Source organism: Homo sapiens, chromosome 19 (assembly GCF_000001405.40).
Source record: "Homo sapiens chromosome 19, GRCh38.p14 Primary Assembly".
In the NCBI taxonomy this organism is placed as follows: Eukaryota; Metazoa; Chordata; class Mammalia; order Primates; family Hominidae; genus Homo; species Homo sapiens.
This window is the reverse complement of record NC_000019.10, coordinates 50,187,144-50,213,899: the sequence shown is the minus strand read 5'-3', so window position 1 is coordinate 50,213,899 and position 26,756 is coordinate 50,187,144. Positions and strand designations below refer to the sequence as shown.

Genomic DNA, 26,756 nt, shown 5'->3' with positions numbered 1-26,756 from the left:
GAGCTGTAAGCATGCCATTGCACTCCAGCCTGTGTGACAGAGCAAGGCTATGTCTAAAACAAACAAACAAACAAAAAACAGAACATGGACCTTGAAACACTGCATGCTCAATATTTTAGCCACTATCAGCTTCTGTTGGGCAAATGGCTTCCCCTCTCCAAGCTGTGGGAAAAAGAGGGTGATAATCCCTACCTCACAACCTTATGTGGATGGGGAGGGGGTCAATAAGATCATATTGGAAAGAAATTTAGAACAGCACCCAGCAGAGAAAGCAGGTACTCACTAAGTGCTAATGATCTTTATTAAGGCCCAATGTGCTTCCTGTCTGGAATTCTAGAATCTTCTCTCTCACATTCATTTCTTAGGCCCCAAAAGTCTGGCTCCCTGGCCACCACCTTAGCTCAGGCCCTACCACTTTTTCTCCTGAACTTTCTGAATAATCTTCCTAGTGCAATGGCTAGGACCTGGGGTCTGCAGTCACAGTGACCTGGTTTCAAGTTCTAGCTTAGCTGGTTCCTAGTTGTGGGGCTTATGTTCAAATCCTGCCCCCTAGTCTGAGGCTCAGCTTCCCCACCTGCAGAGCGGGGATGACAGCAGATACCTTACAAGGTTGCTGGGAGCGCTCAGAGTATTTATTAAAAGGCAAAGAGTGGCCGGATGCAGTGGCTCACCCCTGTAATCCCAGCACTTTGAGAGGCTGAGTTGGGCAGATCACTTGAGCTCAGAGGTTCGAGCTCTGACAAACATGGTGAAACCCCAACTCTACTAAAAATACAAAAATTAGCTGGGCCTGGTGGCAGGCGCCTGTAGTCCCAGCTACTCAGGAGGCTGAGGCAAGAGAGTTGCTTGATCCCAGGAGGTGAAGGCTGCAGTAAGCCAAGATCATGCTGCTGCACTGCAGCCTGGGCAACAGAGTGAGACCCTGTCTCAAAAAATATATATAAATGAATAAAAGGCAACTAGTGGATCCATGTTTTGGATGTCATCCTGATGTCTGTGGCCTTGGGTGAGATGTGGGGGAGTGGATCATGTAGAGGCCTCTTTTCCAGGGCTAGTAAAGGTGTTTGAGGATTTGGAAAGGGCCAGTGCAGACTGGAGAAGACACCAACCCCATGCAGGGTCCGACAGCCCTCGATTCAAATTCCACACCTGCCACCACAAGCTGAGGGACCCTGAGCCAGCCACTGCTTATCTCAGAGCCTCGATCTCCAAGTAGGAGTGGGACTTCACAAAAATATTCTAATCTTCCGCTTTGTGAACCTCAGAGGGGTGGATGTTGGAGCAAAGCTGTGAGACCCCACCAGTCTAAGCTAGAGTTTGGAGCATGACTCTGGAACCAGCTGCCTGGGTTCAAATCCTGGCGTGATTCCTTCATGGCTGTGGGTCACTTAACATCCTGAACATCAGGTGATATCAGCAGTCCCTGGCCCAGAGGGAAGCTGATAACTCACACGCCACACTTAGAACAGTGCTTGGCACATCACGAGTGCTCGATTAAATATTTGCTAGCCTCCTCTTATTATTATTTTTCATTATGATTGTCCATATTCCTTGTCAATCTCTCTAATCCTGTTTGCTCTTTTGTTCAATGAAATTAATAACCCCTTGGCTGCCCATTAGAACCTCCTTGGAAGCTTATTAAAAATACCAATGTTCATGTCACAGCCCCAGAGAGCTCGACTGAAAGTTCTGGGGTGGGGCTCCGTCACTGGTATTTTCTAAGAATTCCCCAAATGATTCTACCATAGAGGTGGGGTTAAGAACCACTGCTCTACCCCATCCGTTTGCTGTAAAGAGTTTTAAAAATGCAACGAACCTCCAATGCTTAGCACAGACGTGGGAAGACTACCATAGTCAACCTAAGTATCATCAATCTCTTCTCAATGGGTTTTTGTATTGTTTCGTTTTGTTTGAGACAGGGTCTTGATTTGTTACCCAGGCTGGAGTACAGTAGCGCCATCACAGCTCACTGCAGCCTCCACCTTCAGGGCTCAGGTGATTCTCCCACCTCAGCCTCCCAAGTAACTGGGACTACAAGAGTGTGCCACCATGCCCAGCTAATTTATTGTATTTTTTTTTTTTTTGCAGGGATGGGGTTTTGCCATGCCCAGGATGGTCCCGAACTCCTGGGCTCAAGCAATCCACCCACCTCAGCCTCTCAAAGTACTGAGATTACAGGCATGAACCACCATTCCCAGCCCCATCTCAATCTTAAGAGGCACCACAGCAAAGTGAGAAGACAGACTACCTGGCTCTGTCAGGTCTAATTGTGTGACCTTGAACTCTCTGTGCCTCAGTTTTCTTACCTGTAAAATGAGGATCAGATGCTTTATAATTCTGAAAATGTACAGAGGCAATGTATTTTAGAAAGCTTGGAAGAATGGTTGGTAAATGTTTAATAAATGTTCATTTTTATTGTTATTAACTCTCTCTGGGCCTCATTTGCCTCTTAGGTAAAATGGTAATAATAATAGACTCTATCTTTCCTATGGTGAGATTGAATGAATTAATAGATAGGCATTTAGCACAGAGCCTAGCATAAGGTTTTTGCTTTTTGTCTTTTTTTGAGACAGGGTCTTGTGCTGTCACCCAGGCTGGAGTGCAGTGGTATCATCATAGCTCACTGCAGCCTTGACCTCCCGGGCTCAAGTGATCCTCCTGCCTCAGTCTTCCTAGAAGGTGAGACTAAAGGCACGGGCCACCACCACACCTGGCTAATTTATCTTTTTTTAAGAGATAGGGTCTCGTTTTGTTGCCCAGGCTGGTCTTGAACCTCAAGCAACACATTTCTATACTCAGTGATTCACATTAATGATTGTCACACATCTGTTTCCGTTCCTTAAAACTCGGGATGAGCTATATCTGAGAAATTGGAACGTTTTATACTTTAGGAAAATAATACAGTTTATCTACCATATGTATCATGCAATGTCCCCAGTAGGTTCCGAGGCTGTCCTAGTAATCCAACAATTCATAATTTGGCAACCATGTAAGTGTAGGAACAGTCACGGGACATGGGATACAGATGATAAACAGCCTCAAGTTAATGCAGGGGAGCCGGGTGGTGGACCTGGTTCCCCAACCGGCAGCAACTCCGCCGCACGCGCCCCCCAGCAGGAGCCCACTCACGTAGATGAGGCCGGAGTAGTACCGCTCCCGGAGGTTGTGCAGGACCGAGGCCTCGTTGAGGCAGGTCAGCTCGGCCATGTCCTCGGCCTTGCTGAACTTGGGCGGGTTCATGCGCTGGATCTGGTCCCGCGGCAGTCGCAGCCGCCTCCCGCTCTCCGCCAGCTCCACCTCCGCCTCCTCCTCGCCTTCGTCCCGCAGCGCCGCCGCCTCGAACCCGTGAAGCTCCGAAGGCACCCACACGAGACGCCGGGCCGTCCACTCCACCTGCGGGGAGGTGCCCGAGCCAGGCCCGCCACCCGCGCTGGGCCCGCGGGGCGTGAACAGGAACGGCTGGGCCGCCTCGGGCACTGGGCCCGGCCTGGGGGGCGCCTTCCGCCCGGGCACCGACATGGTCACGGCTGCCATGGTCTGCAGGGGCAAAGAAAGAGGGTGGGGGTCAGATGGGGCTCCGTCCCCCGGGCCTCCCTTCCCTACCCCAAATTCCCCAGGCAGCCACCTCTGCCTTCCTTTACCAGACCTCTTGCCATACTTCTGCAAAGTGGGTTAACAGACCCAGCTTACTCATTTCATTCATTCACCTCTCTAGGCACTCATTCATTCTTTAATAAGCTAGGCTGTGAACCAGGCTCAGAGGGTCAGTTCTTTTTTTTTTTTTTTTTTTTTTTTTTTTTTTTGAGACGGAGTCTCGCTTGTTGCCCAGGCTGGAGTGCAATGGCGTGATCTCAGCTCACTGCAACCTCGGCATCCAGGGTTCAAGTGATTCTCCTGCCTCAGCCTCCCAAGTAGCTGGGATTACAGGCGTCTGCCACCACGCCCAGCTAATTTTTGTATTTTTAGTAGAGACAGGGTTTCACCATGTTGGCCAGGCTGGTCTCGAACTCCTGACCTCAGGTGATCTGCCTGCCTCGGCCTCCCAAAGTGCTGGGATTATAGGCATGAGCTACCACACCCGGCCCCGGCTAATTATTTTCTTTTTTTTTTTTTTTTGAGATGGAGTCTCACTGTGTCGCCCAGGCTGGAGTGCAGTGGCACGATCTCGGCTCACTGCAAGCTCCGCCTCCTGGGTTCACGCCATTCTCCTGCCTCAGCCTCCTGAGTAGCTGGGACTACAGGCGCCTGCCACCATACCCGGCTATTGTTTTCTATTTTTAGTAGAGACAGCGTTTCACTGTGTTATCCAGGTTGGTCTCGATCCCCTGACCTGGTGATCTGCCCGCCTCGGCCTCCCAAAGTGCTGGGATTACAGGTGTGAGCCACCGCGCCTGGCCAATTATTTTCAATTTTTGTAGAAATTAGGGTCTCACTATGTTGTCCAGGCAGGTCTTGAACTCCTGACCTCAGGTGATCCACCCTCTTCAGCCTCCCAAAGTGCTGGGATTGCAGGCGTGAGCCACCACTCCTGGCCAGGCTCAGTTCTGGGCACTGACAATGGAGCAACAGACAAGCTGGAAGAAGACGCCTGCCTCCAAAAGTTTACTTTCTAGCCCCGGGCTGTCCACTGCAGAAGCCACCACCACCTGTGCACTACCGGGTACTTGCAATGTGGCATGTGTCACTGAGGAAACACATTTTCAATTTCATTCATTTAAATTCAATCTATTTTATTTTATTTTGAGATGAGGTTTCACTCCGTTGCTCAGGCTGGAGTGCAGTGGTACAACCACGGCTCACCACATCCTTGACTTCCCAGCCTCAGGTGATTCATGTCTGAAATTTATTAATTAAAAAATAAATGTATTAACAGGCATGCCACCATGCCTACTAATTTTTAAATTTGTTTTGTAGAGACAGGGTCTTCTATGTTGCCCAGACTGGTCTCAAACTCCTGGGCTCAAGCGATCCTCCTGCCTTGGCTCCCCAAAGTACTGGGATTACAGGTGTGAGCCACCGAGCCCCATCTTAAAATTTAAATATAAATATCCCCATCTGGAGTTCTAAGTGTAAGATACACACCAGATTTCCAAGACTTAGTACAACAAAAAGATAGTTTGCTGAGATTTTAAATATTTGATGACATGCTGAAATGATAATATTTTCAATCTACTGGGTTAAATAAAATATATCATTAAATTAATGTTACCCGTTCCTTTTTTACTTTTATCATTAAATGTGGCTACTAGAAAATGTTACATTACACATCTGGCCTGTATTATATTGCTATTTGACAGAGCTGCTGTAATCCCAGGAGACAGATAAAAAGATTAAAAATGTAAATTAGATAGTATGGTTTTTGTTTTTTAAAAATTCTCTCTCTCTTTTTTATTTTTTTACAGAAACCAAATATGGTATGTTTGGTGGGTTTGTTGGGTTTTTTTGTTTGTTTGTTTGTTTGTTTGTTTGTTTGTTTTTGTTTTTTGAGACAGAGTCTTGCTCTGTCACCCAGGCTGGAGTGCAGTGGCTTGATCTTGGCTCACTGCAACCTCTGCCTCCCGGTTTCAAGAGATTCTCCTGCCTCAGCCTCCCAAGTAGCTGGGATTACAGGCGCATGCCTCTATGCCTGGCTAATTTTTGTATTTTTAGTAGAGATGGGGTTTCACCATGTTGGCCAGGCTGGTCTCAAACTCCTAACCTCAGGTGATCCGCCCGCCTGGGCCTCCCAAAGTGCTGGGATTACAGGCACGAGCCACCATGCCCGGCCAGATAGTACATTAAATGGTGATAAATACCAAGGGGAGGAATAAACCAGGGGACAGGAAATGTTAGGGTTGAGGATGTTGAAGTTTTCATTAGGGTGGCCAGGGAGGGCCTCTCTGGTGTGGCATTTAAATGAAGACCCAAGGGAGATGACAGGAGCGAGGAAGGGGGTTGTTGGGAGAAAAATCATTCCAGACAGCAGTGCAAAGGTCCTGGGGCCACAATGCATCTGTGTGGCTGTGTCACTGTGAGGTAGGCAGCATGGCTAGAGCCAAATGATCGAGGGGCAGAGGGTGGGAGGGGATGTAAGAGAGGGGACAAAAGGTACAACCTTGCTTTTACTCTAAGATATGAGCCCAGGGTGGGAATTGACCTGATTTTTGTCATTCAGGTTCCCTGACCACCTCTGGTCACGCCTATCTCATGCCTGCAGAATAGACTCGAATCTCACTGCTTCAGTGAACAATTCCTTCCTTCTCTGGAACCTGACTCCTTCTCCATAAAATGGGGAGACTGGACCCATTCATTCAACTCTCTGAGGACTTTCAAGTACGAGACTCCGCCCCGAGTGGGCCTGAGGACCCAGAGAAGAGTAGGCTGGGAGCCCTGCCTGGAGGAGCTCCTGGCCTAGGGGTGGATCCAGCTCCAGCTATCTCGGAGGCAACCAGGTGCTGGGGGAACTAGAATGTGTTAGGCCCCTCCCACCATCCAGCGGGCCATGGGCAGTAGTGGCAATTCCAACGCGGTCCAAGCACCAGGCAGGAAAAATATTCTCCCTATCCTGCTGCGTGGCCCCCTCCTGCTAAAGAAGTCTGCCCCTAGTCTCTCTCTCTCTCTCTCTCTCTCTCTCTCTCTCTCTCTCTCTGTCTCTCTCTCTCTTTCTCTCTCTCTCTCTCTCTTTTTTCTTAGAGATAGGTCTCGCTCTATTGCCCAGGCTGGAGTTGGAGTGCAGTGGCACAATCACAGCTCACTGCAGCCTCAACTCCTGTGTTCAAGTGATCCTCTCACTTCAGCCTCCTCAGTAGCTGGGACCACAGGTGCGCACCATCAGGCCCAGCCTTTTTTTTTTTTTTTTTTTTTTTTTCTGGTAGAAACAGGGTCTCCCTATGTTACCCAGGCTGATCTCAAACTCCTGGGCTCAAGTGATCCTCCTGCTTTGGCCTCCACAGTGCTGGGATTACAGACATGAGCCACTACGCCCGGCCCCTACTCTCATCCACTGCCTCAAATGTCCCCATCACTGCCCCACCACATCAGTCACAGAAACAGTGGGAGATTTCTGTCTCCCCAACAGCAGGACTTCACCTCTGCCCGATAGACCTATATGCAACTGCCGTCCCCACCTCGCTCCCACATACCCCTGGAGAAGTCCTTCTAAACGCCCAGCTGCCCTGGAGGCCCCCCTGGATCTGGTCCCAACAGACTCCTGCCTTTCCCTCAAGCCTCTCCCACGGGAATCCCAGCTCCGCTGAGAGGACCCACTTCCTCCCAGACCCTCTCCTCCCATCCCCAAGCCCAGCAGCTCCAGCTTCCAGTGACTCTTGGCCCTGAGGCTCTCAGGCCTCAAACGCTGGACCCTTGCACTCTGAAGGCAGCAGGGAGTTTCTCCACCCCGTGGCCCCCAAATCGTCAAGGCTCACCCCATATCTCCAGTGTGACCTGGATACACCGGACCCAAACTCCATCCCTGGGACTTTACCCTCACCCCCACCCACCCCACCCCACCCCATCCACTTCCTCACCAGCCCTGTGGCCTTTGACCAGGAAGGGTTTCGGAGTTTTTGCAATCACCCTATGCCCTATGCCTCTCCTCCCTGGAGCCAAGAGTCCAAGCCCCCAGCCCTTTCCTTCCCCAGGCTGAGGAGTCCGAGCTCCCAGCCTCCTCCTCTCCCAGGACCCAGGAGTCTGAGCCCCCAGCCCCCTCCTCCTATGGATTGGGAAGTGCAGGCCCCCTCACCTCACTGCAGCCGGGCTAGAGGTGAGGATGCTGAGTTCTGAAGATGGATCACAGCCCTGATGGGGCGGGCAGGGCCTGCAGGCCTTGGCTCCAAGTGGCCGAGCCTCTCTGACTGCCCTACCCTTCCTCAACCAGCAGGAACACTCTGCCAGGGCTAATTACTGTCACCTGGGCAGGTGAAAGCACCTGCCCTGGGAGGGGCCGAGACTGCTGGGCTTGAAAAAGAAAAGCAGCCAGGGATCCGCCCTGGGGCAGAGGTTGGGGCCCTTGGCATCCAGCCGTCTGACCCTGGCTTCTAGCGCTGGGTTTCCGGAGTCCCAGTACTCAATGCCCTCCTGTCTCAGACCCAGGAGTTCAGGCCCCCAGCCCCTGCTCCTACAGACCCCAGAATCCGGGCTTGCAGCCCCCTCCTCCCCTAAGACCCCAGCTCTGCAGTCCTGGCCCCAGTCCTTTCCTCCCCCAGGACCCAGAAGTTCGGGCTCGCGGCGCAGTCCTTCCTCAGACCTGGGACAGCCGGCCCCCAAGGCCCCTTCTCAGATCCAGGAGTCTGAGAGCCCCGTACCCATTCCCCTGGACCCAAGCGCCTGTGTCGCCGCCCCCTCAACTCGCAGATCCTCGGGGCTACCTGGGGGCGCCGACCGGAGCGGGGAGATGGGGTGAGGGCGCGGGAATCCCCGTTCTCTTCAGGTGCAGCGACCTCCGCGGTCCAGCGCAGGGCGGGGCCCCGTCGCGTCACAGGGCGGGAGCCCGGCTCTGATGTCACCCAGCACCTGCCCGGCTGGGAACGGGGCGGGCCTGGAGCTTCAGGGCCTCTGACGGGGGCCGGGGGAAGGCGGGGGTTGAGCCTGTTGCCAGGTGGGCGGCGGCGGCGGCGGCGCCAGGGGCTCCTCCCCCTTATGGAGGGCAAAGGTCGAGGGCCCGCCGCGGAGAAGGCTGAGGATTCCCGGGATTCAAACCCCGCTGGAGCTTCCTGGGCCTCAGCTTTCCCTGCTGTGCATTGCGGCCAGTGAAATTAATAAAACGACGTTCAGAAAGTTCCCCAGCCCAGTGCTTCATCATTAATCTCCCTGAGCCTCAGTTTCCCAACTGCGGGAAGGGAACAACAAAATCTATAGACAGTAAGAGTACCAAAGAAGAGGACAATGGTATTCTGTCCTGAGCTTCAGTCTCGGGAGTGAAATAAAGACTACATGGTGATAAGAGTACCTACTATGTGTCGGGTATTTTCTCCTCTTAGAACAGCTCTTTGAGATCATAAAATGATTTAAAAAAAAAAAAAGAGGGAGAGACAGGGTCTCTCTCTGTTGCCCAGCTTGGAGTGCAATGCCACGATCATGGCTCACTGCAGCCTTGACCTCCTGGGCTCAACCGATCCTCCCTGCTCAGCCTCCCGAGTAGCTGGGACAGCAGGGTCACGCCACCACGCCCGGCTAACTCTTTTACTTTTTGTAGAGACGAAGTCTCGCTGTGTTGCCCAAGCTGGTCTCGAACTCCTGGGCTCAAGCGATTCTTTCGCTTCCACCTCCCAAAGTGCTGGGATTACAGGCCTGAGCCACTGCGCCCGGCCTAGAATAACCTCAACAACCAATGACATAGGGGTGATCAGCATGTCCATTTCTCTGATGTGGAAACTGAGGCAGGAAGGGTCAAAGTAAGGCACTCAAGATCACACAGCGTAAGAGGGAGGTCTGGAATTCAAGCCTATACCGTTTTCTGCCATTCTAAAGGAGGGGGTCTGGAAAGAACTTGTAGCAGGTCCCTAAAGACATGAATTTCTGCGTCCCAGTTGGTGATTACTACCAACCTGCTTCCCCATCTATGCCACAGGGACCACCGCTTTCCTTAGGGGACTCCTGTGGGACTGAAAAGGTTAAAGGACCCAGCACACAGTTGGTCTCTGGAGTGTTCTTCTCCACCAGGTCCCCCTGCAGTCACCAATTCGGCCCAGTCTCAGCCTTCCCCTCTCTGTATAATGGGTACAATATAACTCACCTCGAGTCAACACGATAAGGAAAGGAAATTATTTAGTTATAAAAAATAAAAGCGTCCAAGTACATCATAGGTTCTCAAATATGTCCTTCCCTACCCCTCCGCCTCTTCCAGTCACGACCCCTCTCTCTGGCCTCCGATTCTGACACGTGAGAACAGAGACATGTCATGCTGGGGGCGGGGGACTGGAGGCGATGACTCAGGTATTAAAGCGGCCGAGGTTCCAAAGACAGCCTCAGTTTCCCCTTCTGCGGAACAGGCCCGGGGCTGACAACGAGGACCCCGACCGGGCCTCGCACACGGCGGCAACTGGAGTTGGGGGAGTGTAGACGTCCCGCCCCCCCACCTCCCTCGCCGCCGTCCCGCTGCGCGCCCAAGGTGAGTGTCCGCGTCACCTCCCCGCCGTCCCCGGCCGCCTGCCCGGGCTCCCGGGCCCCGATCGCAGCCCCCAGGCTCCAGCTTCCCCTGGCTCAGTCCCGTTCCGCCGCCCCCGGAGGGCTGCCGGCCCCGGGCACTCACCGGCTTCCAGGGCCGTCCCGAGGCTTCGGCCTGGGGAGAAAGAGGGGCGTGTCCGCCAGGACAGCCCCGCCCCCAAGAGAGCAGCAGAGGCCAATCGGCGCCCGCTGCGGCAAGCTACGGCCCCGCCCCTGGGGGACGGGAGCCGCCAATCAAAAAGAGCGGCTGGCGGGCTGGGCCAATCAGAAGTTGTCGAAGGGTGCCAGCCGTGGGAAAAGAACGCGGCCCGGGCGCGGAGCTAGGCGGCGCGGTCGGGGGTGGAAGCCGAGGCCTGATGGGCACGGGGCGCCACCAATAGCGAGGCGCGGGGGGCGGCCGGGGGCGGGAGGCCCAAGGGGCCAGGGTGAATGGGCCGCTTTGTGCGCAAGGCATGAATGGGGGCCTTTGTAAGGGCCGGCGTGGGGGGGCCGACCGAAGGCCGGAATGCCTGGGTCCCCCGGGACCCGGCGGGCAGGAGAGACAGGAGACAGAATTCACTTTTGTCGAACGTAGACCATGTACCAGGCACCCTCCCAGGCTCTCACCCACCGGGGAGGTGTGGGCCGTGATACTATCGGAATAACAATGATCGTTTATCAAGCACTTCGATGTAGACCGGGAGCTGTGCTAAGCGCCTTACCTGCATGATCTCATTTAATCCTTACAACGAAGCCCTTGAAATTGGTGCTATTAAGATCTTCATCTTCTAGATGAGGTAACCCCAAGCTTAGAAAGAGGGTGTTAATTGCAGAAAGTCACAGAGCTGGCCGATGGCAGAGCAAGGACTCAGATCCAACCAGAAGTTGTGCTTTTAACCGCCATGCTATGCCCAAACGTGGTAATGATTCCCCATTTACAATTTACAGATGGGAAAACTGAGGCTCAGGAGAGCCAAAAGACTTCCCAAGGTTGGAAGGGTGCCGTGGCTCACACCTGTAATCCCAACACTTTGGGAGGCCAGGGTGGGAGGATCACTTGAGCCCAGGAGGTCAAGACCAGCCTGGGCAACATAGGCCCCATCTCTATTTAAAAGGAAAATAAAAAGAGCCAAGGGCACAAAGGAATGGCTCCACTGAACCCAAGGAGGCCTGCCAGCTTGGCTCGGCTGCTCAGCAGCTGTGTGGGCTCAGGCCAGTTGCTGGACTTTTTTGAGATTCCATTTATTTCTGCACTCGTAAAATGGGAGTGATGGACTGTCTGCCTTCACCCTTGCTCTCCCTACAGTCTACTCTATTCAGATGGGGCCTTTCCTCTGTTCAGAGCCTTCCATGGCTCCCATTTCACTCAGTAAAAGTCTAAGAACTCACCATGGCCAATGAGGTCCTGCGGGATGTGGCTGGCCCTTTTGCTCTCTCTGATCTCACCCCCAGGCCCTCCCCTTCATACTGCTCCAGCTACACTGGCTCAATTTCTCAAACCAGGAGGCCTGGTGCTGCCCCAAGGCCTTTGCATTCTCTGTTGGGTCCACCAGGAATGCTCTTCCCCAGGTTTTGCATGACAACCTCTCTCCCACATCATCCGTTCTGCTCCAATATCACCTCTTCCAAGAGGCCTTTCCTGGCCATCCTATATAAGACAGTTCCTCTCATCACTCTCTCTCGTTTAACCCCGCTTTGCTTTTTCTCATAGCACTGGGAGTGTTTGCTAATTTATCTGTTTATCATCTGTCTCCTCACTAGAATTTAAGTCCCACGAGGACAAAGATCTTTATTTTGTTCAGTGCCGAATCCTCAGTGCCTGGCACACAGTAGGTGTTTAATAAGTGTTTGTTGAGTAAATGGTAATGAGTGCTTGTATTGAGTGGATTAAGTGAATTAGTGCCTACAAAGCTCTTAGTACAGTCCTGGCACCAGGGAAAAGGCTGAATAAGAAAGTACTGGCCAGGAGCGGTGGCTCACGCCTCTAATTCCAGCACTTTGGGAAGCTGAGGCAGGCAGATCACTTGAAGTCAGGAGTTCGAGAGCAGCCTGGCCAACATGGTGAAACCCCGTCTCTACTAAAAATACAAAAATTATCCAGGCATAGTGGCCCACGCCTGTAATCCCAGCTTTTCGGGAGGCTGAGGCAGGAGAATCACTGGAACCCAGGAGGCGGAGGTTGCAGTGAGCGGAGATAGCACCACTGCACTCCAGCCTGGGTGGCAGAGTGATTCCATCTCAAAAAAAAAAGAAAGAAAAGAAAAAGAAAATACTGATTATCATGACTATTGCCATTTATTGTCCTACAAACAGCATGCAGGAGAGAAACTATATACATACGAAGTCTAGCGTACGAGCAAGAAGCCAAAGAAATATGAAAGGAAATGTTGGGAGATAAGAGATGGGCAGAAAAGAGACAAGAGAAGCTGGAGTTGGGTGCTGAGGGCAGACACAGATTCAAGCATCCAACTCCCAATGCACTTGCTCAGCAACAGCAAAGGTGAATCACAGGACCATCCCTGTGGTCATAGTGTCAAGATTGCCATGGCTTTGAGATTGCCACAGCCACCTTCCACTTCTTTGCAGATGGGGAAACAACATCCTGGGGAGAAAAGGACCTTTCTGAGAGTACTCGCAGTGATAACACAGCTCACAGTTGTGAGGTCTGATTGTGTGCTGGAAACATGACTGTCATTATGTCAGTGCATCCTCATGCCAGCCCCGTGAGGCTGGCATGGTCATTACCCCACTTTATAGGCTAGCAACATGTCCAGGGTCTCCTGACTACTGCTAATGGCGGATCTGGGCTCCAACTCCTAGGAAACAGGCCCCTGCAGGCATCTGTCTTAACCAAGACAGAGCTGAGGGCTCCTGTCACTCTGGCTGGAGCGTGCTCCATGGAAACATCCTACAGTAAAGATAATGAGTGCTGCTGTGTATGGAGTGCTGACTGTGTGCTGGACATTTTGCCCTTTTATGTATTAACTCATTGGATTCTCTCCACAACCCTACGAGGCTGGTGCTTTTATTATCCCCATTTGATGGATAGAAAACTGAGGTCCACGCCAGGCACAGTGGCTCACCCCTGTAATCCCAGCAATTTTTGGGGCTGAGGTGGGAGGATCACCTGAGGCCAGGAGTTTGAGACCAGCCTACCCAACATGGTGAAACCCTATCTCTACTAAAAATACAAAAATAAGCCAGGCATGACAGTGGGCGCCTGTAGTCCCAGCTACTTGGGAGGCTGAGGCAGGAGAATTGCTTGAGCTCGGGAGGTGGAGTTTGCAGTGAGCCAAGATTGTGCCATTGCACTCCAGCCTGGGTGACAGACTGAGACTCTATCACAAAAAACTCAAAAAAAAAAAAAAAAAAAAGAGAGAGAAGAAAGAAAGAAAGAAAGAGAAAGAAAGAAAAATTGAGGTCCAGAGACATGAAAGTCCTGTTCCCAACGGTGCTAGGAAAGAGTATGGACTGGGACACAACAGAATTTCAAACAGGAAAGAAGGCACTGGGCACCCACATTTTAACTATAATCTGCCTGGTAACTGGTGATGTCATCAACACTACCCAGGGCTAGATTTAGCCTGGGATTACCCAGGTAGATTTACCTGGCAACTTGTGATATCATCATGCCCACCAGGTTCTAAATTGACCTCATAATTGGAGATGTCATCAATTCTGCTCAGTCTATGAGGTAATTGATGACATCACTGAGTGATAGTAATGAGCTTTCTTTTGCGGAGGGCATTCTATGTGGTGGACGGCTGTATCAGCATTTTGAAAGTTGCTGGTATTTATTGAGTGCTTACTGTGTTCCAGGCACAGTTCTAAGCCCCTTCTGTGTGCTAAATCCTATAATCCTCCTGATAACGCTAAGTGGTAAGTTCTAATGTCAAACCCATTTTACAGATGAGGACACTGAGGCACAGCTGACCAAGGTTGCACAGTTTAAAGGTGGCAGAGCCTGCATTCAAATCAATGTAGTCTGCACAGTTTAAAGGTGGCAGAGCCTGAATTCGAATCAATGTAGTCTGGCTGTAGAGCTTGGGCTGCACAAAGCCAGCAGAGGGAGGCTGAGACCCAGAAAATCAAGTCCAAAGGAGGCACTCCACTGCCTCTAAGTTCTCCATCTGTCCTCCATCCAGGCCTGCCAGAGAAGGTCCTCAGGATAAAGCCCCAAACTCATTATCTCAGGGATCAAGGCCACCCCGTCAGCCATCCCTCTCTGAACTCCAGGCACTGGGATCATTCACATTAAATTGTGAGTCCTTGGCTGTCCAGGGCTGACCCCTCTGTGGGTCCTGTGGGTATCAGCTGCAGCAGAGAGGGAACCCAGACAGTGAAGGGGGATGGAATACCACGACGGGTGTGTGCCGGGGAAAAGGAAAGGGGAATATGGGGGCATTCTGAGCCTCCAGGGAAGCTGGATTCCCACCAGCTGGCACAGCCCCCAGACGTGACCTCGTTATGCAGAATCTGAGTAAGGAGCAGCACAGGTGTGGGGAAAGCCAGCAAGGAACTAAGCTGATGAAAACAAAAAGCTGTCAGCACCAAAAGACAGGGTGAGAAAAAAAGAAAAAGAAGATAAAAAGTTGGAGCTGAAAGGGGAAGAGACGGGAGAACCAAGGACAGGGCAGCTTTGTGGAAGAGAGTTTGGGGGGAAATTTTGAGCAAAAAAAATTAGGGAGCAGTTTCCATGCCTGATGGAGGGAAAGGGGCCTGAGTCTTACTAGAGCAAAAGGAGGAAGAGGGTGCTAAGTTTTGCCATGGGTCCTGACTGCAATCCTGCCTGGGCATTTTCTCTGCAGCAAAGACTGGAATGGTTCCAGTATTTTATTTTTGGTCGCTGGGCTGTTGTTTTCCTGCATGTGACTCGGAGCTGGAACTGGCTCTGAGACAAGAGCAAGCTAGCAACCCCGTGTGGGTCACAGATGAGTGACAGGTTCAGTTCTGCAACAATTATTTTTTGAGTGCCTACTGTGTGCCAAGAATTGTTCTAGACCAGGGGTCAGCAAACTTCTTCATGTAAAAGGCCAGACAGTAGATAGTTTCAGCTTTGCGGGACAGAAGCCTTGGCTCCAATTGTGCCACACTGTCCTTGCAGTATAAAAGCAGCCAGAGACAATATGCAAATGAATAGGTGAGGTAGTGTTCCAATAAAACTTTATTTATGCAGACAGGAGGAATTTGGCCAGTGGGCTATAGTCTGTAGTTTGCAGACTCCTGTTTATTGTTATTTCGTTTGTTTTTGTTGTTGTTGTTGTTTTTGTTTGTTTGTTTTGAGATGGGGTCTCACTCTGTCACCCAGGCCAGAGTGCAGTGGCACAATCATGGCTCACTGCGGCCTCAACCTCCTGGGCTCGAGCGATCCTTCCAACTAAGCCTCCTGAGTAGCTGGGACTACAGGCACTTGCCACCATGCCCAGCTAATTTTTTTTTTTTTTTTTTTTTGAGACAGAGTGTTGCTCTGTCCCCCAGGCTGGAGTGCAGTGGTGTGATCTTGGCTCACTGCAACCTCTGCCTCCCGGTACAAGCGATTCTCCTGCCTCAGCCCTCCGAGTAGCTGGGATTACAGATGCGCTCCACCACGCCCAGCTTTTTTTTTTTTTTTTTGTATTTTTAGTAGAGAAGGGGTTTCACCATGTTGGCCAGGCTGGTCTTGAACTCCTGACCCCGTGATCCACCCAACCCGGCCTCCCAAAGTGCTGGGATTACAGGCGTGAGTCACCGTGCCTGGCCCTGGCTAATTTTTTTTTTTAAGATTTTGTAGAGACAGGGTCTCGCTGTGTTGTCCAGGCTGGTCTGGAACTTCTGGGCCTAAGCGACCCTCCCACTTTGGCCTCCAAAACCGTTGGGATTACAGATGTGAGCCACTGTGCCCCACCCAGACTTCACCCAGACACAGAGGAGGCGACAGGTGCAAAGACATGATCCTGGCTCTCACAAAACTCAGGTATTAATCTACTCCCTATATGGCAGGCAGAGGGAACCACATCCTGCAGGCAGTTGGATCCTGTTTCTTCCTGGCTCAGAATCCTCCTCTGGCTCTGGTCATACTCAGAGTGAAAACAGAGTCTTCCCCCACATGGCCCTGCTCCATCTGGTCCCCTCTGTCCCCTCTCTGCCCTCTCTGCCCCCACCTCTTGCTCTCTCCTCCTTCCTCATTCCATTCCAGCCACAATGGCTTTCTTAATGTCCCCAAAACACACCAGGCTCAGTCCTGCCTCAGGGCCTTTGCATGTGCCATTCTCTAACTGCAATGCTCTTCCCCTGGATAACCGCTTGGGCTCCTTCTCTCCCCCACAGCGTTTGTTCAGCTATCACCTCCTTGGTGAGGTCTTCCTTGAGCACCCATCCCCCTGGACCCCTGACACCCTCATTTGGCTCTATGCTTTCTTTTGCCGCAGCACCCTCCTTCCAACATGCCTTATAATTTATTTACTACCTTTATGTTTATTTATGTTTATGTTTATTGTCTGACATCACCACTAGAATGTCAGCTTCATGCAGAAGGGGATTTTGTCTCTGTTATCCCCAGTGTCTACAACAGAGCCTGGCACACAGTGATGCTCAAGAAATATTTGTCTGGGCTACCATGCTTATTACTGGGGTGATGAAATAATCCATACACCAAACCCCTGTGACACACAATTTACCTAATAACAAACCTGCACAGGTACCCCTAAAAGTTAAATTTTAAAAAGAGAGAAACACTCATTGAATAAATGATCATGTTCTCATGGTAGCCACAGACACCGAACAAGTAAACATACAATTACAGGGCAAAATGGCAAGTCTCGTTCAGGGCTGTGATGAAAATAAAAAGGAGGGTAATAGAGGCAAGGTGGCTGGGTATTATTTTAGAAAGGGTTCGGAAAGGCTCTCTGAGGAGGTGTTGCTGGGGAAGGATCATATGACAGCTGATGCTGATAACTATATGAACGGATGCATGTGTGACCAATGAGTGGATAAATAAATGGATGAATGAGGGGGCAGATGATCATTTGAATAGATGGATACATGAATGAATGAATGAATGATATACACAATGAATAAATAAATAAGATGGATGGAAGAATCGATTAATGCATAAGTACATGAACAGATAAACATACAGATGGACAGAGGGACAGACAGATGGGCAGATGGATGGATGGATAAATGGATGGGTGGATGGATGGATGGATGGATGGATGGATGGATGGATGGATGGATGGATAAATGGATGGATGGATAGATGGGTGGATAAATGGATGGGTGGATGGATGGATAAATGGACGGTTGAATGGATAAATGGACAGATGGATGGATAAATGGATAGATGGATGGATAAATGGATGGATGGATGGATGGATGGATGGATGGATGGATGGATGGATGATGGATAATGGATAAATGGATGGATGGATGAAGGAATAAATAGTGTTTCATGCTTTTGTGGCTTCACATATGCTGTGCTTTCTGCCTGTTACTCCCTCTTTCCATCTCCCCATGCCAGGAAACTCCAGGTGAACTTCCCAAGGTTCAAAGCGTGTTAAGGGTTCCCTCATCTCATCTCACCCTCCTCCCATCCCATGCCCTGCCACGGCTTCCACACACTCTTCACACTGGGTTGGGATGCTCTGTCTCCTGGTACCTTTCCACACTAGCAGCCCTTCCAGGGCTCAACCTGCATCTGAGTCACGTCTGTGTCCAGCCTGACCCAGCACAGGGCACATAGGATGATAAGGGCTTGCAGGGATGTGTGCTGTGCATGTGGGTGAGGGATGAAGTGGGTCTCTGAGCCTGAGGGCTGGGGAGGCAGATATCTCTGACAGCATCATTGTCTGCGGGGCCAGGGGTTAGTCTGCAGATTTGAGTGGGGATTTGGGGTGTGTTGGGCATCTGGGTGAAGGGTCTGCGAGGGGGCAGGTCTGCATCTCTGGCATCTCGTTTGGTCCTTGAAATCCCCAGACTCCAAGATCAGGATATTTATTCATTCTGTGTAATCTTGAGCAAACCCTGTCCCTCTCCAGGCTTTAGTAAATGGGAGAGGGGGGTCAGACTAGCCATTTCAAAGCTTTTGCTCAGTGCTGACCTGCTCGGAGTCCATGACTCACTCTGTTCCTCTCTCTGCTTGCCCTGGTCACCCTGAATTGTATCCCTCTCTGCCTCTCCTACCAGCTTGGAGGCACTAGAGGACAGGGCTTAGGTCTGATCCATCCCTGGGACTAGTAGCTCCGCGTAGGTCAGAGTCAGACTCATGTTAGGTCCCTGGGATCTCCCAGCACAAGATCTGGAACACAGCATGCCTCAAGGGAGTGTCTTGACTAAGATAATGAAAGGAAGTATGACTTTTTGTCACCCGGTGAGCTCCTACTCATACTTCAAAACCCAACTAAAAGTTCCCCCTTTGAGAAAACGTCTGACTCCTCATGTTTGGCCAAATAATAATAGATAATACTTTTATGATGCTTGGGCTTACTTATATATACATATTGAATCATCTAACCTCCCGAGTATCTGGAACCACAGGCATGTGCTACCATGCCCAGCTAATTTTTTTTGAGATTTTTTTGTAGAGATGGGGGTATCCCTATGTTGCTCAGGCTGGTCTTGAACTCCTGAGCTCAAGTGATCTTCCTGCCTTTGCCAACCAAAGTGCTCATTACAGGTGTGAGCCACCAAGACTGGCCCACTACAGCTATTTTTAAAACATTATTTTATTTTTGAATTAAAACAATTTTAATTAATTACACAAGATGGAAAAAATCAAGGGATAGAGAAATGTTTCCCTTGACCAATATCCTCTGTTTCACTTAACCAACAAAATGTACCTCTGACACCTGATAATATTTTGGTGTGGATTTTATTATTAGAATTCATCATCTTTTAGCCAGGCATGGTAGCAGGCTCCTGTAATCCCAGCTACTTGAGAGGCTGAGGCAGGAGAATTGCTTGAACCTGGGAGGCAGAAGTTGCAGTGAGTTGAGATTGCGCCACTGCACTCCAACCTCAACAGAGCAAGACTGTCCAAAAAAAAAAAAAAAAAGAAGAATTCATCATCTTTGGAACTGGATGCTAATTCTAGCTGCCCTTATTGGGAAGTTGTATGTGGTGGCACCATTTTATATATTTTATACACATGAACTCATTCAGGCCCTAAGTCAGCCCTGTGAGGCAGGCACCATCGATAGTCTTGTTACAGATGAAGAAACTGTGGCTGGGAGAATTTAAGGTATCATTCCAGCTCACATAGGTGGAATGGCAGGGCCAGGATTTGAACCTGGGGAGTCTTGCAACCACTCTAATGTTCTACCCTGAGACGACCACCCCCCCCCACCCCAAGAGGATCATGGTTGCCTCTGGGTTTCTAGTCTTTTCCTGGGCAGCTTACTCAGAAAGCAGTTTCCTGGGTCCCACCCAGAGTTGCCAGCTGAGTAGATCCAGGCGGGGACAGGGACTTGCATTTTTACGAGTCCCCAGGTGATCTGTGGCAGATGGCTCTTGATCGTACTTGAGCCAAAACACTTAGCGCCATCCTTGATTCCTCTTTCCTTCTTACCTCTACATCCAGTTTATCAGCAAATGTCAATGTGACCTTCAAAATATATCCAGAATCTGATCGGATGTGGCGGCTCATGCCATGTAATCCCAGCATTTTGGGAGGCTGAGGCAGGCAGATCCCTTGAACCCAGGAGTTCAAGACCAGCCTGGCCAACTTGGTGAAACCCCATCTCTACTGAAAATACAAAAATTAGCTGGGCGTGGTGGCAGACGCCTGTAATCCCAGCTACTCAGAGACTGAGGCAGGAGCATCGTTTGAACCCAGGAGGTGGAAGTTGCAGTGAGCTGAGATCATGCCGTTGCACTCCAGCCTGGGCGACAAGAGCGAAAACTCCAACTCAAAAAAAAAAAAAAAAGGTCGGGAATGGTGGCTCACGCCTGTAATCCCAGCACTTTGGGAGGCTGAGGCGGGTGGATCACAAGGTCAGGAGATTGAGACCATCCTGGCCAACACGGTGAAACCCTGTCTCTACTAAAAACACGAAAATTAGCTAGGCGTGGTAGTGGATGCCTGTAATCCCAGCTACTCAGGAGGCTGAGGCAGGAGAATCGCTTGAACCTGGGAAACAGAGGTTGCAGTGAGCTGAGATTGTGCCATTACACTCCAGCCTGCGTGACAAGAGCAAAACTCCATCTCAAAAAAAAAAAAAAAAAAAGCTAGCTGGGTATGGTAGCGCATGCCTGTATGCCTGTAGTTTCAGCTACTTGGGAGGCTGAGGCGAGAGGATCACTTGAATCTAGGAGGCAGAGGTTGCAGTGAGCTGAGATCGCGCCACTGCACTCCAGCCTGGGTGACAGAGTGAGACCTCATCTCAAAAAAAAATCTATATCTATATAATCTCTAGCTCTAGCTCCAGAATCCGACCCCTTCTTGCCACCCCCACTGCCTCACTCTGGTCAAATCCACCATCATCTCCTTTCTGGACCACTGCAGGTGCCTCCTCTCTGGTCTCCCCACTTCCCACTGCGTCTGCTCCCACAGGGCAGTCAGAGGACCCTCTTAGACCTCAAGTTAGCTCCTGTCCCTCCTCTGCTCAGACACCGCCCCCACCTCACCGTGGCCCAGAGTAAAACCAAAGTCCTCACCATGGACCACGGGGCTGTGCAGGCTGTGACCTGCTTTGTCCTTCATTTCTCTTCACCTCTCACCCTCTCCCCCTGGCTCATGCCACTACAGCCAACTTGCTCCCTTGCTGTTCCTCAAATGCAACCGACACGTTCCCACCTCAGGGCCTTTGCACGGCTGCTGCCTCTGCCTGGAACACTCTTCCTCCCAGACATCCCCCTAGCTCTCGCCTCATTCATTCAGGCCATTGTTTAAATGTCACCTTCGCAATGAAGCCTTCTCTGGTCACTCTGTTTAATGCCTCACCTGGCACCAGGCACCTCCATCCCCTTTACTTGCCCCTTGTTTCTGCCTTTCCATAGCACTTCTGACCTTCTCACCTGCTATACCATTTATTTATTTGTTGTGTTTGTTATTTGTTGCCTGTCTCTCTGACTGCAGAATATCCACCCTATAGAGGGGAGGGACTCGGTTTCATTTACTGTTCTATCCCTAGCACCTAGGACAGTTCCTTGCACATGGTAAGTGCCGGGTAAATACCTGCTAAGTGAATAAAAGAAACTCTCTGAGAAATTCTCCTCTAGCTGGTAGGGTGCTAGAGAACTTTGCTTCCTCATTGCTTTCATGTACTGCCGGCATTGTCTTTCTTTCTTTCTTTCAAATAGAGATGGGGCCCAAGCGCTGCGGCTCACACCTGTAATCCCAGCACTTTGGGAGGCCAAGGCTGGCAGATCACCTGAAGTCAGGAGTTCAAGACCAGCCTGGTCAACATGGTGAAACCCCTGTCTCTAATAAAAATACAAAAATTAGCTGGGTGTGTTGGCAGGCGCCTGTAATCCCAGCTACTTGGGAGGCTGAGGCAGGAGAATCGCTTGAACCTGGGAGGTGGAGGTTGCAATGAATCAAGATCGTGCCACTGCACTCCAGCCTGGGTGACAGAGCAAGACTCTGTCTCAAAAAATAAAAAATAGTAATAATAAAATAAATAGAGACAGGGTCTCGTTACGTTGCCCGGGCTGGTCTCAAACTCCTGGCCTCCACTGATCCTCCCTTCTTGGCCTCCCAAAGTGCTGAGATTATAGGTGTGACCCACTAGGCCCTGCTGCTGCTGGCATTTCTAAGATGCTGATCAGAAAGAAGAAGGTCACCAAAGCTATTTTTAAAACACTTTTTTCTTTTTAATTTAAAGCAATTTTAATTACACAAAGTAGAAAAAATGTAAACACGAGGGTAATATTTCCCTTGACCAGGCCCTTCCTTTTCACTCTGCCTTCCAGATGTACCCCTGGTATTTTGTTGTAATTTCTTCCACAAATATTTTTTTTTGAGACAGGGTCTCACTGTGTCGCTCAGCCTGGAGTGCAGTGGTGCAATCACAGTTCACTGCAGCCTAAACTTGCCACCCCAGGCTTAAGCTGTCTGCCCATCTCAGCCTCTAGAGTAGCTGAGACCACAGGCACTCACCACCACGTCTGGCTAATTTTTTTATTGTTTTGTAGAGATGAGGTGTCACTATGTTGCCCAGGCTGGTCTTGAACTCCTGGGTTCAAGTGATCGTCCTGCCTTGGCTCCCCAAAGTGCTCAGTGGCATGAGCCACTGAGCCGGATCTAACATTTACTATTTATTTACATTGGGGTCAGCAAATGACAGCCCACAGGCCACACTGGCCTACTGCCTGGGTTTATAAATAAACTTTTATTGGAACACAGCCATGCTTGTTGGTTTAGTATTGTCTGTGGCTGTGGCTGCTTTCATGCTATAAGGACGCAGTTAAGCAATTGTGACAGAGACCATATGTTCAAAGCTGAAAATATTTACAATCTGAGCCCTTACAGAAAAAGCTTGCCAACTCCTGGTTTACATATATAGATTCAGAACTGAGAAATATTATGATCTCTTGAGTTCAGGGATATAGGATGATACTTGATATAGGGAAATCTGGCTCGCCTTTTTTTTTTTTTTCCTTTTTGAGACGGAGCTGCACTCTGTTGCCCAGGCTGGAGTGCAGTGGCGCGATCTCAGCTCACTGCAACCTCCACCTCCTCGGTTCACGCGATTCTCCTGCCTCAGCCTCCCCAGTAGCTAGGATTATAGGCGCCCACCACCACACCCGGCTAATTTTTGTATTTTTAGTAGAGACAGGGTTTCACCATATTGGCCAGGATGGTATCGATCTCTTGACCTCATGATCCACCCGCCTCAGCCTCCCAAAGTGTTGGGATTACAGACGTGAGCCACCGCGCGCAGCCTGTGCTCCTATGTTTTAATTCACCTTTATCTTGTCTACACCACACAGTATCCAATAGCCGCAGCCTATCTATGGTTCCTTTGACTCCTCGCCGATTGGTGGGGCTGCTGGTGGTTTTCCTTGTTCCACCTTTACAGACCGCAACACACTGAGCCTCCTTCTTCCTACTTCCTCATGCATGAGTAGTGATATTGCTAGGTCAAAGAGTATATGCAGTTAAGATTTTCATAGACGTTGCCAAGCTGCCACCCACAACAAGACTATTTTCCTTTTTAGGAAAAAAAAAAAATGAAAAAGAAACCAGTGCAGTCAAGTGTTTATTACACGGCTGTTCCCTGAAAGGTTCCACCCCTCGGGTGGGTCACCTATAATTCACTGAACCCTGGACATGCTGTGGACTCTCAGTCCTTTGAACTGGTTGGTCCCTTCTCCGCCCTTCTCTGCCTGGTGACATGCTGCTAGAGCTTCAAGACCCACCTTAGATAATGGGGCAGAATTTTGTGACATTCACTGTGCATTTCTCCCGGGATCCAGCGATCCCACTTCCAAGTAGGTACCATAGAGAAGCATGCACAGGTAACATACAAGGACATACCCCAGGATGACCAGGGCAGCATTACGGGTGGGAATAGGGAGGTAGAGAACACCATGAGGTCTGTTTCGTGGGGAGCTGGTAAGCAAAAGGGAGTGGATTCCTCCATGTTGTCCTGGAAGCAATAAATCAGTTTCACTTGGTAACGTGGAGAGATCATAAAAACATAATACTGGGCCGGGCATGGTGGCTCAGGCCTGTAATCCCAGCACTTTGGGAAGCTGAGGTGGGCAGATCGCTTGAGGCCGAGAGTTTGAGACCACCCTGGGCAACATGGCGAAACCCCGTCTCCACTAAAAATATAAGAATTAACTGGGCGTGGTGGTGCGCACCTGTGATCCCAGCTACTTGGGAGGCTAAGGCACCAGCTCTGTTTTAAAAAACAAAAAACAACGTAACAAAAAAAAATTAATGTTGAATTGAAACAGTAGGAAATAAAACAGTCTATAGCACAATTTAAAAGATAGCATTTATCCTTTGTGTCAATTTAGAAGATATAATTACACGAAGCAATGCTGTCTGGTCTGTAAGCATTTCTACATACCCAAGATTGCGTGAATGTTAAAGGTGTTAGGGTTTGTTTATGGGGCACCAGAGGAGGTAACAGGAGTGAGGCTGGAGCATTAAAGAGAAAAATAAGAAAGAAAGCAAAATCGGGATATGGACAAATGATAGAGAAACAGGAACGGAAAATATGACGGAATTCTATGCACCAAAGTCCACGCCCTATAAAAGGATCTGTCCTGGAGGGCAATCGCTTCTCAGAAGCCTTCTGCAAGCGGCATCCCCAACCCTCCGTTCCTTCCCCAGCCAGAATCAGTCCCTCTCTCCTCTCACTTCCTTTCAATGCCTTCTGCTGCTACCGTCAAAGCACAGCTTCACCAGACTGACACTGTGTCCATGACCATCTCCCTAGCCACAGCAGGAACATTTTGAGGGAAGGAAACAAGTGTGTGCCTCAATGTTCCTGGATCTGTAAGAAGGGGGATAGTGATAAAAGTATCTGCTGGCCAGGTGCAGTGGCTCACGCCTGTAACCCCAGCACTTTGGGAGGTTGAAGTGGGCAGATCACTTGAGCCCAGGAGGTTGAGGCTGCAGTGAGCCGTGATTGCACGACTGCACATTCCAGTCTGGGCAACGGAGCAAGATCCTGTCTCGAAGGAGGGAAGGAAGAAAGGAAGGAAGGAAGGAAGGAAGGAAGGGAGGGAGGGAGGGAGGGAGGGAGGGAGGGAGGGAGGGCAAGGCAGGAAGGCAGGATGGGAAAAGATTTACAGCTGTTGAAGGGTTAAATTAATTAGTTCACGTCCTGTGCTTAGCGTAGTGATTTTGGCCCATTGCAAGCCCTCGATAAATGCTGGTGGCTACTATTATTATTATTATTATTTACTTTTTGTTTTTGAGACAGTCTCGCTCTGCCAACCAGGCTGGAGTGCAGTGGTGTGCTCTCTCCTCACTGCATCCTCTGCCTCCCCAGTTCAGGTGATTCTCCTGCCTCAGTCTCCCGAGTAGCTGTGACTACAAGCACGCGCCACCGCGCCCAGCTAATTTTTGTATTGTTGGCAGAGATGTGGTTCCGCCATGTTGGCCAGTCTGGTCTTGAACTCCCTTCCTCAGGCAATCCTCCCGCCTCAGCCTCCCAAAGAGCTGGCAGGTGCCTGTAATCCCAGCTACTCGGGAGGCTGAGGCAGGAGAATCACATGAACCCGGGGTTGCAGTGAGCCGAGATCGTGCCACTGCCCTCCAGCCTGGGCGATAGAGCAAGACTCAGTCTCAAAACAAACAAATGACAAAACCAAAGAGCTGGGATTACAGGTGTGAGCCGCTGCACCCGGCCAGTGGCCATTATTATTAATATCATTATTATTATTGGGCTTGGCCTCATTACATGGGGGAAAGGCCTCACCCCAATGCCCCCTTCTTCAGGATGTCTTCCCTGATTGTTCCATAGGGAGCCCTGCCAGTGCCTGCGGTGTCTGCCTTACAGCCTCTTCCCCAGGCTTGGACACTGCCTGCTTACCTGTCGGTCTCCCTCACTGGGCCGGGGAGTCCTCAAAGACCGGGACCAGCGTTGGTTTGCCTCGGGTTCTTTGGAGCCTGGCATAGCGGCTGGTGTCCCTCGGGCCTTCAGGGACATCTGTCCGCCCGAATGGAATGCAGGCTGGGAGGGCAGATAAAGCAGGTGTATGATTAACGAATATATGGAGAGGTGTAGATGATAATAGCCCGGTGACAAAGGTAGAAACCGAGTCCCCATCTGGTTTCAACCCACCCCCTTCCTCCTCCCTACCACTCCTCTGCAAGCTCCCTGCACTCCGGGCTCCTGGCCCAGGGGCCACCCCTGTCCTGAATCTGAGCCTGGGAAGGGTCCTTTCCTTGGAATGTCCTTCCTTCCTCTCCCTTCATTCCCATCGTGGCAGGTGACACAGGTATGCACAGTCAACCCCCGCAGGAGTCTTAGTCTTTGTGCACGTGCGGTGGGTCCCTTGGCATCCGATAAAACTTACAGACCCTTCCTCCAGAATTGTCTTTTTAAAGTCAGGCTTATTAAATATATGTACAAATTTATAATTTTTGTGTATATTTGCACAATTTTTTTTTTTGAGATGGAGTCTCAGTCTGTCGCCCAGGCTGGAGTGCAGTGCTGCAATCTCGGCTCACCATAACCTCCACCTCCTGGGTTCAAGAGATTCTTCTGCCTCAGCCTCCCGAGTAGCTGGGACTACAAGTGCGCACCACCACCCCCGGCTAATTTTTGTATTTTTAGTAGAGACAGGATTTCACCATATTAGCCAGGCTGGTCTCGAACTCCTGACCCCGTGATCTGCCCGCCTCGGCCTCCCAAAGTGCTGGGATTATAGGCATGAGCCACCATACCCAGCCATATTTGCACACAGTTTTACATAATATAGATACATATATAATTTATATGTGTATACCTATGAGGTAAAATTCACCCTTTTTAGTGTACAACTTTTTTTTTTTTTGAGATGGAGTCTCACTCTGTCACCTAGGCTGGAGTACAATGGTGCAATCACAGTTCACTGCAGCCTCAATCTCCTGGGCTCAAAGAATCCTCCTGCCTCAGCCTCCCAAGTAACTACCACCACAGCCTTGCACCACCACACCCAGATAATTTTTTTTTTAATTTTTATAGAGATGGGGGTGGTTCTCACTATATTGC

The 26,756-nt window shown here is 50.4% G+C and overlaps 1 protein-coding gene and 1 long non-coding RNA gene across 4 annotated transcripts in view, besides 1 other annotated feature; one reads left to right on the top strand and one right to left on the bottom strand.

Moving 5' to 3' along the window:
- Positions 1–10,278, bottom strand: part of MYH14 (myosin heavy chain 14) — a 106,919-nt gene extending 96,641 nt beyond the window's left edge. For all 3 annotated transcript variants that reach the window (NM_001145809.2, NM_001077186.2, NM_024729.4), the window contains exons 1-2: positions 10,229–10,278; positions 3,130–3,537 (exon numbers count right to left, since the gene is read on the bottom strand). In NM_001145809.2, coding sequence (NP_001139281.1) covers positions 3,130–3,534 — 405 coding nt within the window. In that variant the 5' untranslated portion in view covers positions 3,535–3,537; positions 10,229–10,278. The remainder of the gene's footprint in view (positions 1–3,129; positions 3,538–10,228) is intronic.
- Positions 8,457–8,556: a silencer, noted in NCBI's record as "silent region_10951". NCBI's record gives its function as "represses an Ori minimal core promoter by ATAC-STARR-seq in GM12878 lymphoblastoid cells {active_cell/tissue: GM12878}" and the evidence as "EXISTENCE:reporter gene assay evidence [ECO:0000049][PMID:35858748]".
- Positions 9,924–26,756, top strand: part of LOC124904746 (uncharacterized) — a 35,889-nt gene continuing 19,056 nt past the window's right edge. Inside the window, exon 1 of the long non-coding RNA XR_007067298.1 lies at positions 9,924–10,087. This is a non-coding gene — a long non-coding RNA (uncharacterized LOC124904746). The remainder of the gene's footprint in view (positions 10,088–26,756) is intronic.